This window comes from Homo sapiens, chromosome 16, assembly GCF_000001405.40.
Source record: "Homo sapiens chromosome 16, GRCh38.p14 Primary Assembly".
NCBI lineage: Eukaryota > Metazoa > Chordata > Mammalia > Primates > Hominidae > Homo > Homo sapiens.
In genome coordinates this window covers 13,153,294-13,171,405 of record NC_000016.10, presented here as the reverse complement: position 1 = coordinate 13,171,405, position 18,112 = coordinate 13,153,294, and the positions used below count along the sequence as shown (strand labels likewise).

The window sequence follows — 18,112 nt, the reverse complement described above, 5'->3', positions numbered from 1 at the left end:
ACTTCACGCCAGTCTCTGTGATTTGTTGATTAATGTGTAGCTTTCCATGAACTAGAAGCCTGATATGGTTTGGATGTTTTCTCCCCTGCCCCAAATCTCATGTTGAAATGTGATCCCCAGTGTTGGGGGTGGGGCCTGGTGGGAGGTGTTTGGGTCATGGGGGTGGATCCCTCATGAATGGCTTGGTACCCTCTCCACCACCTTAATGAGTTCACAAGAGATCTGGTTGTTAAAAAGAGTCTGGGATCTTTGCTGTCTCTCTCTTGTTGGCTCTCTTGCCATGTGACACGCCTGCTTCCCCTTCAATTTTGGCCGTGATTGGAAACTTCCTGAGGCCCTCACCAGAAGCAGATGCCAGCACCATGCTTCTTGTACAGCCTGCAGAAGGGTGAATCAAATAAATCTCTTTTCTTTTTCTTTTTTTATTTTTTCCTTCAACTTTTATTTTAGGCCCAGCGCGGTGGTTGACGCCTGTAATCCCAGCACTTTGGGAGGCCAAGGCGGGTGGATGACCTGAGGTCAGGAGTTGGAGACCAGCCTGCCCAACATGGTGAAACCCCATCTGTACTAAAAATACAAAAACTAGCTGGGCGTGGTGGCACACATCTGTAATCCCAGCTACTCAGGAGGCTGAGGCAGGAAAATGGCTTGAACTCAGGAGGTGGAGGTTGCAGTGAGCCGAGATGGCACCATTGCACTCCAGCCTGGGCAATAGAGCAAGACTCCATCTCAAAAAACAAACAAACAAACAAACAAACTTTTATTTGAAATTCAGGGGTACATGTGCAGGATGTGCAGGTTAGTTACATAGGTAAACGTGTGCCATGGTACTTTGCTGCACAGACCAACCATCACCTAGGTATTAAGCCCAGTGTCCATTAGCTATTCTTCCTGATGCTCTCCACACCACCCCTGGCAGGCCCCAGTGTGTGTTGTTCCCTGCCACGCATCCATGTGTTGTCATCACAAATCAATTCTCTTTATAAATTACCCAGTCTTGGGTATTGCTTTATAGCAACACAAAATTGACTAACACAAAGCCCCTGAGTTCAGGGATCTTGTCTACTCCATTCACCATTGTATCTCAGGCACTCACACAGCATATGGCATGCAGAGTGGCTCAGTAGATACTTATCATAGGGACAAATAAATGAACAAATGAACATATATTTTACTTTTCTTTTCTTTTTTTTTTTTTTTTTTGAGATGGAGTCTCACTCTGTTGCCCAGGCTGGAGTGCAATGGCACGATCTCAGCTCACTGCAACCTCCACCTCCCAGGTTCAAGCGATTCTCCTGCCTCAGCCTCTTGAATAGCTGGGATTACAGGCATACACCAACACGCTTGGCTAATTTTTATATTTTTAGTAGAGAAAGAGTTTCGCCATGTTGGCCATGCTGGTCTCAAACTCCTGACCTCAGGTGATCCACTTGCCTCGGCCTCCCAAAGTGCTGGGATTATAGGGATGAGCCACCGCACCCGGCCTGAACATGTATTTTAAATACCTATTTTAAATACGCATGTAAGGATTCATAACCAGACTGCCATGCCAGCCAGAAACCCAGTGCAACCCAGGAAAGCCCCAAGAGAAGAGAGTGATCCGAAGCTGGGACACAGAGCATACATTTCCACCCATAGCAATCATATGTCATCATTAGCTTTCGGGAAGGCTAAAGACTATACTACAAAGACGGCATTGCTCTCTGACTTCTGGTCTAGGCTGTTCATAATTGTTTAAGAAATCCAAAGCCAGGAAACTGATAAAATGTTTTGTTTTCCTCCTCTTAAAAATGATACATCAGCTGCCTAGTGTTTTTCATAAATTCTTTAGCCAGAGTTGTGGTTTTTCATCCACAATTCACATTAAGGATTCTTTATGAAAATGGCTATAAGAGAGGAATTTAATGGGATTATGATTTTTTTAAAGCTCTATCTCTCTAATTAATACCCCAGAGGGGGATTTTTTCCTAACATAATGGCCTTTCAGTGTTAAAAGGGCTTAATATTATGGTAAAATATGTTAACTTTCCTGGCATTCTGACCCAGCCAATAACATGAAAAGGGAACGCATCTGTCTTCCTGAAGCTTCTGCCACCGCAAATGGTGTTGTTTTCACTATTTTCGTAATGAACTAATCAACTGCTTATTCACTAATTGCGTCTACATTAAAAACTTATTACCCCGGAAAAGGGCTGCACTGCAACTGACCTTCCAATGGAGCTGGGAGGGGTGAAGATCCCATGACAACTGTAAGACAAAGGAAATGGCCAAACCCAGGGGCGGGTATTATTCTCTTCTCTGAAACAGGTGTGAGGTCTTCCGTAGGGGTCATTGTATACAGAGAGTTGGAAATCCAAAAGCAAAAGCTGCTCCCACTTTGCTAAGGTCCATGCCTCAATAGGTTCCACTATAATTATCAAGATGATAAAAACAATGATCATGGTGACAATCACTCACTGAGCAAAGTGTTCCTGCCAGGCACGATGCATGCGTCATCTGTCTCCAGTTCTCATGTCGGCTCTGTGAGGCAGGTATTGATGCCTACTCTTAGAGGTAAACAAATAAGAGCTGAGACAGGTGAAGTGACTTGGCCAAGGCCACACAGTTGGCAGATGGTGCAAGTGGAACGTGAATAATGCACTTCCGATGTCACTGTCCACATCCTGGGCTCCTAGCCTGCTAGAGAATGCAGAATACGAGAAACTAGGTGCTGATGAGATCCAGAGCAAATCCCAGCTCGCTAGCTGCTCCTAAGCTCTCACTGCTTTCTGGCCAGCTTTCTCTAGGCAGTAGTTCACAACCTCCTGAACAGGCTCCCTTCTCCCTTTCATGGTGTAGTAGAGAGACAAGGCTTTGCAGTTTGCTACAGCTGGGGCACCTAAGAAGACTACATTTCCCAGCTTCCCTTGCTGGTAGACATGGACCATGTGATTATATGTTGGCCAATGGAGTAAGGGTAGAAATGATGTAAGCCGCTTCCAGGTGACTGATATGGTAATGTTGGAGGCCATAGGTTTGGATGGCATTGCTATGAGATGGAGATGGCTGCCCATGTGTGGCAGAGTTTGTGTAGGTAAGAATGTTTTAAGGAATTAAGCTACTGGACTTACAGGTTTATTCATCGCTGCTACATAGCCTGGTCTTGTCTAACTGAGCTAAATCTTAATCACTGGCCCTGGGGTGATTAGGACAGATGGGTAATCAACCCTGAGTCAGCCCATAACGGAGGTGGTTGGGGGTGTGGGCTTTGGATTGGTTAGTTTGCATAAGACAGTCACGCTTGAAGTTAAGTCCTTTACTATCTCCAGGAACTGGCTAATCCTGAGAGGAGCAGTCCCTCCAGGGTCAGCAAGGTGCCAAGACATCAAAGCATCAAGCACAGAAGCTGGAAAATGTGGTTGTTACAGACAGGTGAGCTGAGACCTGAATAATGAGAAACTATCAGCCATGGAAAGAGTAATAAGACCTGCTTGAAACACATAGAACAACACAGGAAATCCAAGAATTAAGACAGAAGGACTGTATTAGGCTGTTCTCACACTAAGTTCTGCTATAAAGAAATACCTGAGACTGGGTGATTTATAAAGAAAAGAGGTTTTATTGGTTCACAGTTCCACAGGCTGTACAGGAAGAATGGCTGGGGAGGCCTCGGGAAAATAACAATCATGGCGGAAGGCGAAGGGAAAGCAGGCATGTTTTACCTGGCCAGAGCAGGAGGAAGAGAGAGAAGGGGGGAAGGTGCTACATGCTTTTAAACAACCAGATCTCATGAGAACACTATCAGGAGAACAGCACTTGGAGAGGTGGTGCTAAATCATTAGGCATGGCCCCCATCATCCAATCACCTCTCACCAGGCCCCACCTCCAATACTGGGGATTATAATGGAACATGAGATTTGGGTGGGGACACACATCCAGACCACGTCAAGGAGTTACCAGAAACGTAAGAGGCACAAGTCAAGGGAGGCGAGTGTTCTAAGGAGAAGAAAGGAGCAGGGAACTGTGCCAAATGTGGCTGAGAAGAGGAGTAAAGTGGCCGGGTGCACTGGCTCACGCCTGTGATCCCAGCACTTTTGGAGGCCAAGGTGGGTGGATCACCTGAGGTCGGGAGTTCAATACCAACCTGATCAACATGGAGAAACCCTATCTCTACTAAAAATACAAAATTAGCCAGGTGTGGCGGTGCATGCCTGTAATCCCAGCTACTCAGGAGGCTGAAGCAGGAAAATCACTTGAACCCAGGAGGCGGAGGTTGCAGTGAGCTGAGATCGCCCCATTGCACTCCAGCCTGGGCAACAAGAGCGAAACTCTGTCTCAAAAAAAAAAAAAAAAAGAAAAAAGAGAGAGAGAGAGAAGAAGTAGAGTAAAGTAAGAATAAAAAAAATTCTCCTAAAGGAAAAAAAATCTTAAAAAATTTTTTTTTAATTTGAAGTTCCAGGGTACATGTGCAGGATGTGCAGGTTTGTGACATAGGTAAATGTGTGTTATGGTGGTTTGCTGCACCTATCGACCCATCACGTAGGTATTAAGCACAGCATGCATTAGCTAAGGAAAAAAGCATCTTGATAGAGTGTTCTGCCTACTGCCTCCTCTTCTTCCCTGCTTCTGCCACCATGGTCTGGCTTCTTTGCCCACAACCACCTTGTGAAGATCACCAGTACCTTCCCACTATCGCATCCCATGATTCTTCCTTTGCCTTCACTTTTGACAGCTTCTCTGCAGCATTTGGGGGAGGCATTAGGGGCACACCGTAGACAAAACAGACAAGAATGCCTGCCCTCATGGTGGTGACATTCAAGCGGGGGAGAATGATAACACAGTAGATAAATGTATAGTGTCAGGTAAGACTGAGGCTATGGAGAAAAGTAAAGCAGGAAAAGGGAGAGAGGGTGCAGAGGGAATAGAGAGATGGGTTTTATTAGAAGAAGTGGCTAGGAAAAGTCTCTCCAATCTTGCCTTTTTGGCCATGCTAAGAAGCACACGCTTCATCCTAAAGCAAAGAGGATGTTCTAAGACAGTTAAGTGGTGAGTAACATGAACTGATCTGCTTTATCAAGAGGGCTGGGATGCAAAGGCAGGCAAAAAAGCAAGAGAAAGGATGTTCCAGGTAGAAGGAACGATGGAAGCCAAAGCCCAGAAACAGAAAAGGATAACATATCATTGTAGAAACTCTTAGAAGTCTGACGTTGCTAGAGTTGAGAGAGAGGTACTTGGAGAAAAGCCACAATCTTGGGCTTCATTTATCAGGACCTTGATTATCTCATCCATGAAATGGAAGTTAATAAAACAGACATTGATGAGATCAAAGAGACCATCTATCAAATGCCAAGACTAATCTCCTGCAAACAGCAGGCATTAACAAATAATAACTATTACTATGAGGATGGCTTCCCATGGAGAATTCAGTAGCTGGCGAATTACAGGCTCCAGACTCGGGCTGATAATACCTGTCATTTTCTTAAAGGTTATACTGAGCCCACCATGTGAAGTCAATACTGCTTCTTAGGCTCAATTTAAAAGCTTCCCACTGTTTTTATAGAGATCTGTTGACATGATTTATTGGGAACAGTGTCCATTAACATTTTTAAGTGCTCGATAAACCCCCAACCACCCTAGTAAATTAATCTTAATAAATACACAGCAGAAAGGACTTTACTCACTGATCAGCACGTGATACTGTGTCTAACCTGCTGACTGTTGTGGGAAAGGCTGGAGTGTGTGGAACTGTGAGCTGACTGAAGACAGAGAGGAAAGACATTACAAAGTACCTTTGCTCATGGTCTGAGGAATCTGCATCCATCTCAGCCTCAGTTTCTCCACGTATCAGAGAACAGGTAACAGGAAGTTTCCTAAGTCTCAGTCACTTCCATGGCTGTTGCCAAATTCAAACACTACCTATACTACTATTTATTAAATAACTCTTCTTAAAATAAATCCAGGTCTAAGATCACTACCTTTACTTCATTTGAAGCAAATTCAAACTTCTAATGATAGCAACTACTATATATAAGATAAAAGAAATATACTGGATTGGATTAAAAGCAGATGACACAGTGGAGGAGAAAATGTTAGTAAACTGGAAAACACAATGACAAATCAATTAAAATTAAACACTTAGATTAAAACAGACAGCAAAATATGAAAAGAGCATGACTGAACTGTGGAATGCATCACGTGATTTAATATACATAGAATCAGTGTTCCTAGGGGAGAGAAGAAAGGAGGAGGCATAAAAAAAATTGGAACAATTAATGGCCACAAATTCTCAAAATATTATGAAAACTCTACAAATACAAAGCCAAGAAGGCTAACAAACCACAAGCACAAGAAACATGGAGAAAACTATACCAAGGCATACCTTAACTAAATTGCTGAAAACCAACCAGAAATCATAAAAGCAATCAAAGGCAAAAAGGATGCATTATATACAGAGGAAACAGAGATGAGAATAGTAGCAGATTTCTTATCAGAAATAATACAACCTAGAAAAATCCACAGATGAACCATATTGTAAGCCATAGAATAAAATCTCAATCATTTTAAAAAGGTTCATGTCATCCAAACTCTATTGTGAAATCTTGTGGAATTAAATTAGAAACCAATAACAGAAAATGCCCAAATATTTGGTGGTCAAAATTCACTTCTAAATAACCTATGAATAAAATTAAAAAATTAAGAGGGAAATAAAAATGTATTTTGAACTGAATAGAATGAAAAATGTAACATATCGAAATGTGTGAGATGCAGTTATAGCAATACCTAGAGGCTAATTTATAGCATAAATGCTCACATTAGGAAATCTCAAAGGAATGACCTCAGCTTCTAGTCTAAAAACATTTAAGGAAGAAATAATATTAATTTTACAAAACCTTTTCCAAAACATTGATGAGGATGGAATATTTTGCAACTCATTCCATAAAGCCAGCATTACCCTGATACAAAGAAAAACATTACAAGGAAAAGAAAACTACAGACCAATGTCCATCAAAAACATAGGTTAAAAATTTCTCAGTAAATTATAGCAAACTAAATTTAGCAATATATAAAAATAACACACCATGACTAAGTGGTGATAATCTAATTAATCCAAGGTTGGTTTACCACTTGAATTTCAATCCATGTAATTCATAATATTAACAGTCTAAACAAGAACAGCCATAAGATCATTTCAATAGATGCATAAAAATCATGTGATAAAATGCAATGTGTATCACCAATAAAAAAACTTTCAGCAAACTAGGAATAGAGGAGAAATTCTTCAAACTGATAACGGACATCTATGAAAAATATTATAGATAACACCATACTTAATAGTGGGAGATCCAACACGTATCCCCCAAAGTCAAGAAAAAAGCAAGAATGAACATCTGCTTTTGCCATTTATATTCAACATTTTACTAGAGGTTCTATCCAGTACAATACAGCAAGAAAAAGAAAAGAATCAGAGTCCATATTGGAAAAGGAAAATTAATACTGTGTTTATTTGCAGATGAGATCATCTCTGTTGAAAATTCTTTGGAATCTAAAAAAAAACTATTACAACTAATAAGTGATTTTAGCAAGGTTGCAAGACACAAGGTTAACATACCAAACTCCGTTGTATTTGCATAACATAGTAATGGACTATTGAAATTTAACAAAATACCATTTACAATAGCAACAAAAATATTAAATATTTAAGGATAAATCTCACAAAAGATGTGCAAGGCCTGTACAATAAAAACTATAAAAACTTTACTGAGAGAAATTTTAAAAGACCTAAATAAATGTAGAAATATGTCATGTTCATGGTTTTAAATATTCAGTATTTTAAGCTATCATTTCTTTCCCAAATTAATCTTAATTAAATTGCTGAAAACCAACAAGAAAATAATAAAAACAATCAGAGAAAAAAGGACACATTATATACAGTGGAAACAGAGATAAAAATAACAGCAGATTTATTAAACTCAATGCAATCGCAGTAAAAATTCAAGCACACTTTTTTGTAGAAATGATCATCTAATTTTAAAATTCATATGGAAATTAAAAAGATCTGTAAGAGCCAAGACAACTTTGGGAAGTAGAATAAAGTTGGCTTAGAGATGTTAAATAACTTTTCAAAGGTCAAATGAAGACTCTTTTTTAAAAGACATTTGAGACTCATTGGGGTCTCATCTTGTCCCCCAACCTGGGCCTATTCTAGGTAGGTATTTTCAAATACATTTTCTCATTTCTTTTTTAGTGTAAACCTAAATGCTTAGCATTATTAGCATCCTTTCACGGACAAAGAAACTGAGACTCAGGTAAGCTAAGTGACTTGTCCAAGGTCACTCAGTTTTTGTCCAAGTTCTTTAAAATCACTGGCTTTCAGAACAAGAGAAGGATAAAGACTAACTTAGAATTCCTTGTCTTTCCTTCTTTCATTCATTATTTTTTTCTCTCTTTGACTTAGAAAGCATTATAAATAACACATTTAGCTTAAGAATTAGGACTAAGAAGAACCACCTTTGGTGAACAGGATAACGGCTCCAAGGTGATAAAATAAGATGTGCTCAAAACCCCTTCCTCTGTTTCTTGTATCGGTTTTTTTTTTCATGTAAATGACTAACTTAATTTGCTTTCCTTTCCAGAACACTAGCAATTAGAATCTTTTTCAAATGTTCTGACATCTACTTTGCTAAGATTCATTCCCACTTTCTCTTATGACAATATCCATACACCTGTTTGATAATAGGCACCTACTATGTAAAATGGCCTTATAATAAAGTCCTGTGTGTAACACACTGTCAAGGCCAAGGGGTGGGCTACTTATTTCCCGTTCCATTTGCCATAGCCCAGTTCTACCAGAGAGGAGAGTTTGGATGAGTTTCGAATCTGTTTTAATGGAATTTGGAGTATCAGTCAAGCAATCAGTCTCGTGTATTAAAGATGTACTGTATGCTCAGCGCAGTGATTGATGCTAATGCAAGGTAAAAAAGAACATCCCTACGCCTCAAACTGTTTTTCCTTGACAGTCCTATAAGAATTACCTGAAAGCCTTGTTTAATTTGTACCTTAATGGCTCCTATATCCAAACAAATGCCTCCCTTCCCTGTTTCCCAAGAAAGAATTACACGATTCTACACCCACTCATAAATCCTAAAAACTCAAAGTCTCTTTATTTCTTCTACACCAACTAGTTCTCCAAAGAACCTGAGAATAATATGCATACACTCTGTCCCCAGGAGAAAGCTGTCTCCCACCCCCTCTGAATACCCACCTTTCTGGCTACTTTTACTAAGTCTTACATTACCTACTTGAGAATACTGAGGTTCATATGGGCTAACTTGTCTTCTATTAATAGCCACATCCTAGGTCCACCTCTGCCATTACATTATCCCCTTCTAATTAATCCAAGGTTGGTTTATCACTTGAATTTCAATCCAAGTAATTCATAATATTAACAGCCTAAAAAAGAACAGCCATAAGATCATTTCAATGGATGCAGAAAAATCATGCAATGAAATGCAATGTGTATCACCAATAAAAAACTTTCAGCAAACTAGAAAGAGAGGTTGTAGTACCTAAGGAAACAAATCTTTAGAAACTTTCCATTTCTAGCACCGATAGAGGAAAAAAAAACGAGGGTTTTTCTTATAAGGTAGAGTTCAAACTTTCCACCCTCAGCCCACTTATAATTTTGTCTTGCATATGGTAGGTATTCAAAGGACCCCCTGCCTATAAAAGAGGCTGGAAGATCTAAGAGTCAAGGGATAAAGGACCTAGAATGCAGAGACAAGAAAGACTCATTCTGTTCTTCACAGCTTGGGTCCTGACCATGGGTCTGGACCAACGTAGGAGGGGATGGCTGGGACAGAAAAATGCCTTTGAGTTCTTATAGACTTGGCATTTTAGCTGTAGGGGGACAGCCAGGGTTTAGATGAGAAAAATGCCCAAAGTCAAGACCCAAATGAAAGAGTATAATTAACTGGGTCAGAAGCTGCTCAGAAGGATGTTGCAAGATAGGTTCAGAGAAGTTGCTCAGAAACAGGACAGATGAGTGAGGACGTGTTAGGGTCCAGGTCTTATGTGAGGCTAGCCACATGGGCAGATGAGTCCAAAACACAAAGACCCAAGCAGGGGGGAAAGATATCCTGAGTGACACCACAGAGCGACCCATCAATGTAGCAAAGGGCTCACCACGCCTTTTGACTCTGACCATCCTGGGCAATTCTATTTCCCACAGACATCTCTAAAACCTCTGGACAGCCTGGAGCACAATAGACTATAATTCTCTCTGCCTCCAACTCCCTGGAGCCAGCCAGGACAGAAAAGTGAGAATTTCCACGGCTCCACTGAAATACATAAGTCTTTGGTTCTAACCAGGGTGTGCCTTTTCCTGCAAATTATTTATAAAGCTTTGGTTCAAATGCCAACCTAACTTCTCCTGCCATGGGGAATGGGGCTAGGAAGAAAAATTAGGGTCATTTCATACCAATATCTACCCTGAGGCTAAGAATTTACTTGTTTCCTTGAAGCCATCCAGCCTGAAAAGGAAAGTGTTGATTTCTTGCCTACCCTGTCTCAGCCAGACGCAGCAGAATTAGGAGGCTCCAGGGCAACATCACCGCTTCTCTCCTGTGGGCATGTTTCTAGCAGAAGTATTCTGACACATCTATGCAAGCATTTGACAAGGAGGTTGTGAAATGGGAGGTCCAGAGGGCTGTGCCTTTAAACTAAGCCCCTGGGGGGTGTTAAAATGGTCCCAACCTGCCCCAAAGAGCGCATAATAAAATTTTCTCATCAGATTTTGGTTCTCACGCACCATACTTAGGTTTGCACTTCCTGATTTGACTGCATTGACAAAACGTGACCCAACTTAGATGCATCCCACCTAACCCAGTGTAGAACCTCACAGTCTGCATTCAGCATCATGATTTTGTAGAAAATAACAACTCAAAGGGACCAGGGCCACCTATGCAGTGTGATATATTACTGGAGGAGGGATTCATGTTAATCAAGCATAAACTTAAGTGCCTCTTGGGTGAATAGAATATACTAGACACAATAGCAGGCAGACACCAAAAAGTAGAAGGCACAGGTCTGACTTATAGGAAATCTGATTGAACAAATCAAGATATCAAGCACTATTAACTAAGCTGTATCCACCTCCTCTCTCTCTCTCTCCCTCATTGCTCTCTATCCATGTTAATCCTTCATCTGTACCCAGAACACACCAGCTCACGCCTGCCTCAGAATCTGTTCACCTGTGATTCCTTCCACCTGGAACTCTCTTCCCTAGGCCTTCATATGGCTCAGCCTTTCTTAGAAGGCACCTCATTGACCTCCACACTTAAAGTTTCCCAATCTTCCCTGACTTCATTGTTTCAGTCTTCCTAACACTCACCCATAGCAATATAGAATTATTTTATTTCTTGTTTATTTTCGCTTTCCTCTACCAGAATGGAAAATTATCTGACAGCAGATAGCTAGTTGGTTTTATGACTTACTTTATTTCCAGTGCCTGGCACATAGTAGGCCCTCAACAAATATTTGTGGGAGAAAGAACAGGAGTCAGGAAGAAGAGGCAGCAATATGAGCTTCAGCAGCATTCAAAGATGGCAGAAGTTTCTGCGGAATTAATCATGGACAGCTTCACCCAAGGGCATGGACTTGAACCTCGGCCTTAGAGAATGGGCAAATGATGTGAACATATCTGTGAGTCTGTGTTCTCCTCTAAGGGAGGCCAATTGATATCTGGAACCTATGGAACTTGTAGAAGGCTTTGGTGGAACTGAAATATAGTAAATCTTTATCAAGAGAAAAGCGTATGCTCAAAGGATGCTCTGATTAATGAACCAAGAGCCAGTCATCTTCATATCTATCCCTCTGCTGAGTGAAATTTTACTCCAGTTTTAGGCAAAAGAGCGAGACTACTCCCAATCCTGACCTCCTCCTGAGAACCAAACAGTACTGGGCTTTCTTCTCTCACATCTCGAGAACAGCTGTGCTCAGGAGCATCTGTGAGCCACTGGGGATCTGGAGATAAATCAGCATCATGGACAAAGGCAGTCTTTCCTCTTCCACAGCTAGGAAAAGGAAGCCTTCTGGGAACCACCCCAGAAACTCAGACCCTGGAGCACCTTCTAGTAACTGGGGCAGGAAACCAGCATTTGTTGAGTGCATATAATGTGCTAGGTATTATGCCTAATTCATGTTAATTTATGTAACTTTCACAATATTCCTAGAAATAGGTCTTGTTTTCCAGATTGTACAGAAGAGGAATCCACATTGTAGTTGACAGTTTAGTTTCGTTTTTTGTTTTTGTTGTGTTTTTGCTGGGTTTTCTTTTGTTGTTTGTTTTTGGTTTTGTTTTTTTTTTTTTTGAGACAGAGTCTCGCTCTGTCACCAGGCTGGAGTGTAGTGGCGCAATTTCAGCTCATTGCAACCTCCGCCTCCTGGGTTCAAGTGATTCTCCTGCCTCAGCCTCGCGAGTAGCTGGGACTACAGGCGCATGCCACCATGCCCAGCTAATTTTTTTTTTTTTTTTTTAGTAGAGATGGGGTTACACCATGTTGGCCAGGATGGTCTCGCCCTCCTGACCTCGTGATCCGCCCACCTCAGCCTCCCAAAGTGCTGGGATTATAGGCGTGAGCCACCATGCCTGGGCTTTGCTGTGTTTTTAAAATCATCTTCATCACCTTCTCCTATGTTTGGGAGCTCCCCATCTTATGGGCCTTGGAAAGAAATGGAGCCTCCCTCCAACAAGTTGAAAAGACCAAATATTTGCTTTCCCAGCCTCCCTTGTGGCACAGGCAAGAGCATGTGACCTAGGCTTGGCCAATCAGATGTGTCTTTGAATTGGGAGCTGGTAGCCCAAGTAACAGGGACAGTGAATAAGCCATCTTGAGAAAAGTAACACTGCGGCAATATCCAGTGCGCACTGTGGGCAATAGCAGGGTCCTCCCAGGACAGCTTTTGTGGCATGGTTTTGGGGGTAGTTCTGGCTATTTTTTCTCTCTTTGTTTCTTCTCAGTTTCTAAGCCAGTTTCTCAGACATCCAGAAATTCTATGAACTTCCTTTTAATACATTCATTTTCTGCTGGGATCATTTAGAGTTGGGTTCTTTTGCTTGCAACTAAGAACTCAGACTAATTCCATTGCAAGGAAGACAAGCAAGTCCCAGTCAGTGAGAGGCAAAGCTGGGATCTGAATGTTGGTCAGTCTGAAGACAAAGCCTGCTTCTCCATTATGGCTACACTGCTCTGAGAGGACATACTGGAAAAACTGTCGCCCCATTTTACAGATGAGGCACAGAGAGGACAGGGAACTGTTCTGCCTGAAAGTGACTAAAGCCCAGGTCTGGCCCCAAGGTTCCGGTTCTTTCTAATATACCACAACTCACCCTTAACCAATCATTCTCCACCACCCCTTTCTGACATAAAAAACTTGTTTCAGACTAACTGAGGAGCCCATGTTAGAGGGGCTAAGAACCCTGGAGATGAGTCAAAGCAGGAGAGTGTTGAAAACAAACAAATGGAGCTGAGGCTTCCTGAGCCTTGAGCAGCCTTTTATGAAGCCCTCCTCTCAGAACAAGACTCAAATCTGTGTTCACTGACAATTCCTGGGAGACTGAGAGTGGGAATGAATGAATGCCTCCGGATTGGGGGCTGGCAGAAGGGTTGTCTCCCTCCTTGGGAACAGGCAGGGAGGACAGCTGACAGGCAGTGGCAGTCATTCAGGGGTAATGCTGAACTGCCCTGACCCTTTTTATGTGCAAAATGGAGATAACACCACTAGCTGCCCAGGTCTGCCTGAGAAAATCAGCAATAGCAATTTTAGTCACAACACATAACACTGAATATGTACCACATCCTGTTTTAAGTACTTTCCATGTATGAATTCCTTCAATCCTCACGAAAATCTTCGAAAATGGGTATTTTGTGATCTCTGTTTTACTGATGAGAAACTGGGGGACAGAAAGGCTAAGTAACTTGTCCAGTTACAGCAAATAATTGGCAGAGCTGGGATCTGGACCCAGGCATTCAAGTTCCAAAATCTGAGATCTCCCATTCTCTGCTAATCAAGTATTATCATGTATGCAACAGAGCTTTGTGATGCTAAATTGCTTCACATATATTAGTGCGAAGCTTCACACAAACAACTTCCTTAATGCTAGGATAGATGAGAGGCTCTGAAAGGGTTGATTCAAATCTTTCTTATAGCCCAGCACTCAGCACCACATAAAGCATCTTAGTGGGATGGATGGATGGATGGATGGGGGGATGGACGGATGATGGATGGATGAATAAACACGTAAGAAGAAGATTCAGATGACAGCAGGGGAGATGGAAAGGAAAGAGCCATTTGGAACCAAGAAAGAGTGGAACACAGAAACAAAGCTCTAAATAGGAATCCTCTGATGCATACTTGAAAAGCCCTCAGCCAGGTTTCCAAAGGAAATTTGCAAATTGCATTTATATACATTCTATATAAAAAACACTCAGTAAATGTGTTTCTTCTTTCATGCCTTCATCTTTTGATGACGCACATGATGTGGAGAAGCGCAAAGATGAGAGACTACCTGATTATACGTATCCATAGTTAGGAGTGTGCATAGGGTTTGGTGTAACAATGTAATCCCGCAGGTGTGCCTAGCTATTGGTCTGCACAGTTGTGCAAGGAAGTAATTTTTTTTTTTTTTTTTTTTTGAGACGGAGTCTCACTCTGTTGCCCAGGCTGGAGTGTAGTGGCGCGATCTCAGCTTACTGCGAGCTCCACCTCCCAGGTTCACGCCATTCTCCTGCCTCAGCCTCCTGAGTAGCTGGGACTGCAGGCGCCCACCACCATGCCTGCCTAATTTTTTGTATTGTTAGTAGAGACGGGGTTTCACCATGTTAGCCAAGATGGTCTCGATCTCCCGACCTTGTGATCTGCCCACCTCAGGCTCCTAAAGTGCTGGGATTACAGGCGTGAGCCACCATGCCTGGCCAAGGAAGTAATTTTATATGTGTATACAATTGCACCTATCAATGAGTGTTGGCAGGATTGTGTGCATATACGCGTGTACACACAATTAATAATGGGCTAACACTCATTTAGAGTTTACTACATGCCAGGCTCAGTGCTAAGCATGCTGGCAAGTACCACCTCATTTAATCCTCACAGTGGTCATTGATGCACCCAGTTACACCCATGTATATGGCTCTGTCTGAGCTGCGTGTACACGGTTTTCTATTAGGTAAGCACCGGCTCAGACTGGCTGCCAATTTTCTGCTGCTTAACCTAAGCTACATGAAGAATGCCAGGAAGGCACACTTTCCTGGACTAGAAGCAGTAACAGTGAATTAAAAGACAGATCATGAAGTCCCTTCAAAATACCATCCACTTAAGAAACAGCAGACACCCAGCTTGCGTTTTTTTGCTGTGTAAACACATTCCCACCACCCCACTCACTTAAATAAGGCTCCTCCACTTTGGCATCCCCGCAAACACATTTTTTACAGTTTCTTTTTCAAAAACAAGATTGCTCCCTCGGCAACTGTTTCCAAGCACATTCCCTCATTCTGGGAGAGGGAAGAAAAAAAAGCAGAGAAATCCTCTTGTTACTATACAGGGAACATGGAATAGGGGTAGGGGGAGAGGGGGAAGTGGGGAAGAGGCAGAGAAGCAAATAATATCATGGACTTCACCAAATGGAATTAACAAATGTCCCCCACCCCAGCCACGTTTCCCCCAGGCCCAGTAATTGCTAATTAGTTCAAAGGCTGTGGCCTGGGTACCTTGACTAGCACAGTGCCCTACCCCCACCATATGTGCATATGTACGTATGCACACAGACACACACACACACACCACACACACAAACAAACACACTATGAAAGGCCAGAGGCCATCCCCTGCAGAGCAGTCTGGTAGAGCTAATGAGGAGACTGAAATTATCTCCCTCAGAGGGGTCATCTAGTCAACATCATTTTCTCAACATTATGTTGACTACTTAAGAGCAGCAAAAATAGTCCCAGGGCAGGTGGGGAGGGGTAGGACCCTAGAAGAAAAGAACTAAGCTACCAACTTTTTCCATTTCAATCCATTTCATTCCAATATATGCCTTTAACTCAATAAATAATTATGTTCCATCCAATTCGTTCCATTCTGTGATATCCAAGTATTCCACTCCACATCATTCCAATACATTCCACTCCAATCTATTGCATTCTAAGCCACTCCATCCCATTTAAAGTCCAACTCATCCCATTTGATCCCAGTTCAATCCATTCTGTTCTAATCTACTTCCATTTCATTTCATTGCATTGCAACTCAGCCTCTTCCATTTCAAGCCATTCTGTCCCCAGTTCATTCTACTCCAGTATATTTCATCCCATGTCATTATTTCATTGTCTTCTTAGTCATTTTAACCTATGCCAATAACTCCTACAGGAAGTATTTCATCATCATCTACAATCTGAGCAGCCATGTGTACCATGAGTGATGTCTAGAGAGGGATGTCTAGAGAGGGACAGAGTTCCCATCTCTGCAGGCTTCTTGGGGAGGCAGAAACAACCCTGACAAAACATCCTGAGAACAACCACGTAACCGTGTCTGCTTTCAAAAGCTCAGAAAAATTAAGATTCACAGCAAAGGAAAGACCCTAAACCTGAAATCCTAACTCTCTACAGGGATCATGAACGAGAAACCAAGACCACTTTGGTGCTCTGCAGAGAGGAGGTAAAAAGCCAGGCTGATTAGTGGTCAAATTCCAGACCTTTTCCTTAGCAGCTGTATTAGACAGGATTATGCTGCTGCATCCAACAGCCTCAAAATCTCAGTAGCTTAAATCAACAAAGTTGTATTGCTCACTCATGATTCTTCTCTCTCATACATTGCCTGGGGTCTCTGTTCCATGCCATCCTCACTGCCAAGAGCCAGTTAACAGAGCAACTTCTATCTGGATCATTACCCATCACCATGATGGAGGGGAAAAGCACATGGCTAACTGTGTATTGGCTCCTAAAGCTTCCATCCAGAAGAGATCCGCTACATTTCTGCTCACCTTTCACTCTCCTAAGCAAGTCACATGCTTCTACCCTCATTCAAAGGTCAGAGAACAGAAACCACACTTTGAGATGGCCAAAGAGCAGGGAAATTCTCTTGTGCTTGGGAGGAGAACAGGAAGTATTTGGTGGGCAATGCTAATGACTACCACAACAGCTACATAACTGTAAACCCCTAACTTAAATTTCCCCAGTCTCCCCACCTGTAAAATGACGATAATTAAAATCTACTTCTTAGGTTTGTTATAAATATTAAATGAGATAGGTGTAGAAGAAACTCAGCACATGATAGGTGCTTAATAAACGGTAATTCCCTTCTCTGAGCCTCTGCAATTATCTCCCTGCCAAAATCCTTGCAAAAACACCAGAGACACAAGCTAGATGGCTCTTATCTGGGAACAAAGAGGAGCTTTCAACCCACCCCCACCCCCACTCCCATCCCAGCCCTCAGATCTGTTGCCTCTATTTGCAACAGGAGCTTCAGCCACGTGCTTGTTGGTGAACCATCTGCTTCACAAATGTAATTATATCACAACACTGATTTCTGATGGGCATAGACCAATACCCAGAGATGCTGCGTTCCCAAACATTGCAGAAAAAAGTACCATAATCTCTGGAGCAGAAGTGTAATCAAAATGAGCGATCATCAAGTGCAATATTTTCTCATGCTCCAGAGAAGACTGGCAAACATCCTGGAACATCAGGTTTGATACCCTCCGGAGGGCCACATTTCTCTGCTTGCCGGAGCTTGTACTGGGATGAAATTGGTACTTTGGGGCATGCTTTTGCCTTTTCTGAAGACCCTGTGGGAGGCAGTGCTTGAGAACCCTCTCTGTTGTGGAAATCCCACATTGGAGTTCCACCACAAGGTTCTCCAGAAATGGGCATGAGATACATCAACAATCTACTGTACACCACACCTGTTCCATGTCTATCAATTTATGCAGCCGGAATTTCTCAAGCACCTCCTCTGAGCTAGGCCTTGGAACTAATTGTGATTCTCCAATTCTCCATCCCTGAGTGGATTACAACTACCAAGCTTTCCATTAAAAATCCAATATAGAAACAAACATTTAAAGGCACACTCTATTATAGGCATG

At 42.2% G+C, this 18,112-nt stretch overlaps 1 protein-coding gene across 6 annotated transcripts in view, besides 1 other annotated feature; it reads right to left on the bottom strand.

Annotated features, from left to right (window-relative positions):
- The window catches only part of SHISA9 (shisa family member 9), a 661,420-nt gene that overhangs the window by 391,612 nt on the left and 251,696 nt on the right, over window positions 1–18,112 (bottom strand). The gene's annotated exons all lie outside the window — the stretch shown is intronic.
- Window positions 2,913–3,462: an enhancer, noted in NCBI's record as "NANOG hESC enhancer chr16:13261801-13262350 (GRCh37/hg19 assembly coordinates)". NCBI's record gives its function as "activates a minimal SCP1, AML or CMV promoter by ChIP-STARR-seq in primed H9 embryonic stem cells {active_cell/tissue: H9 hESC(primed)}" and the evidence as "EXISTENCE:reporter gene assay evidence [ECO:0000049][PMID:30033119]".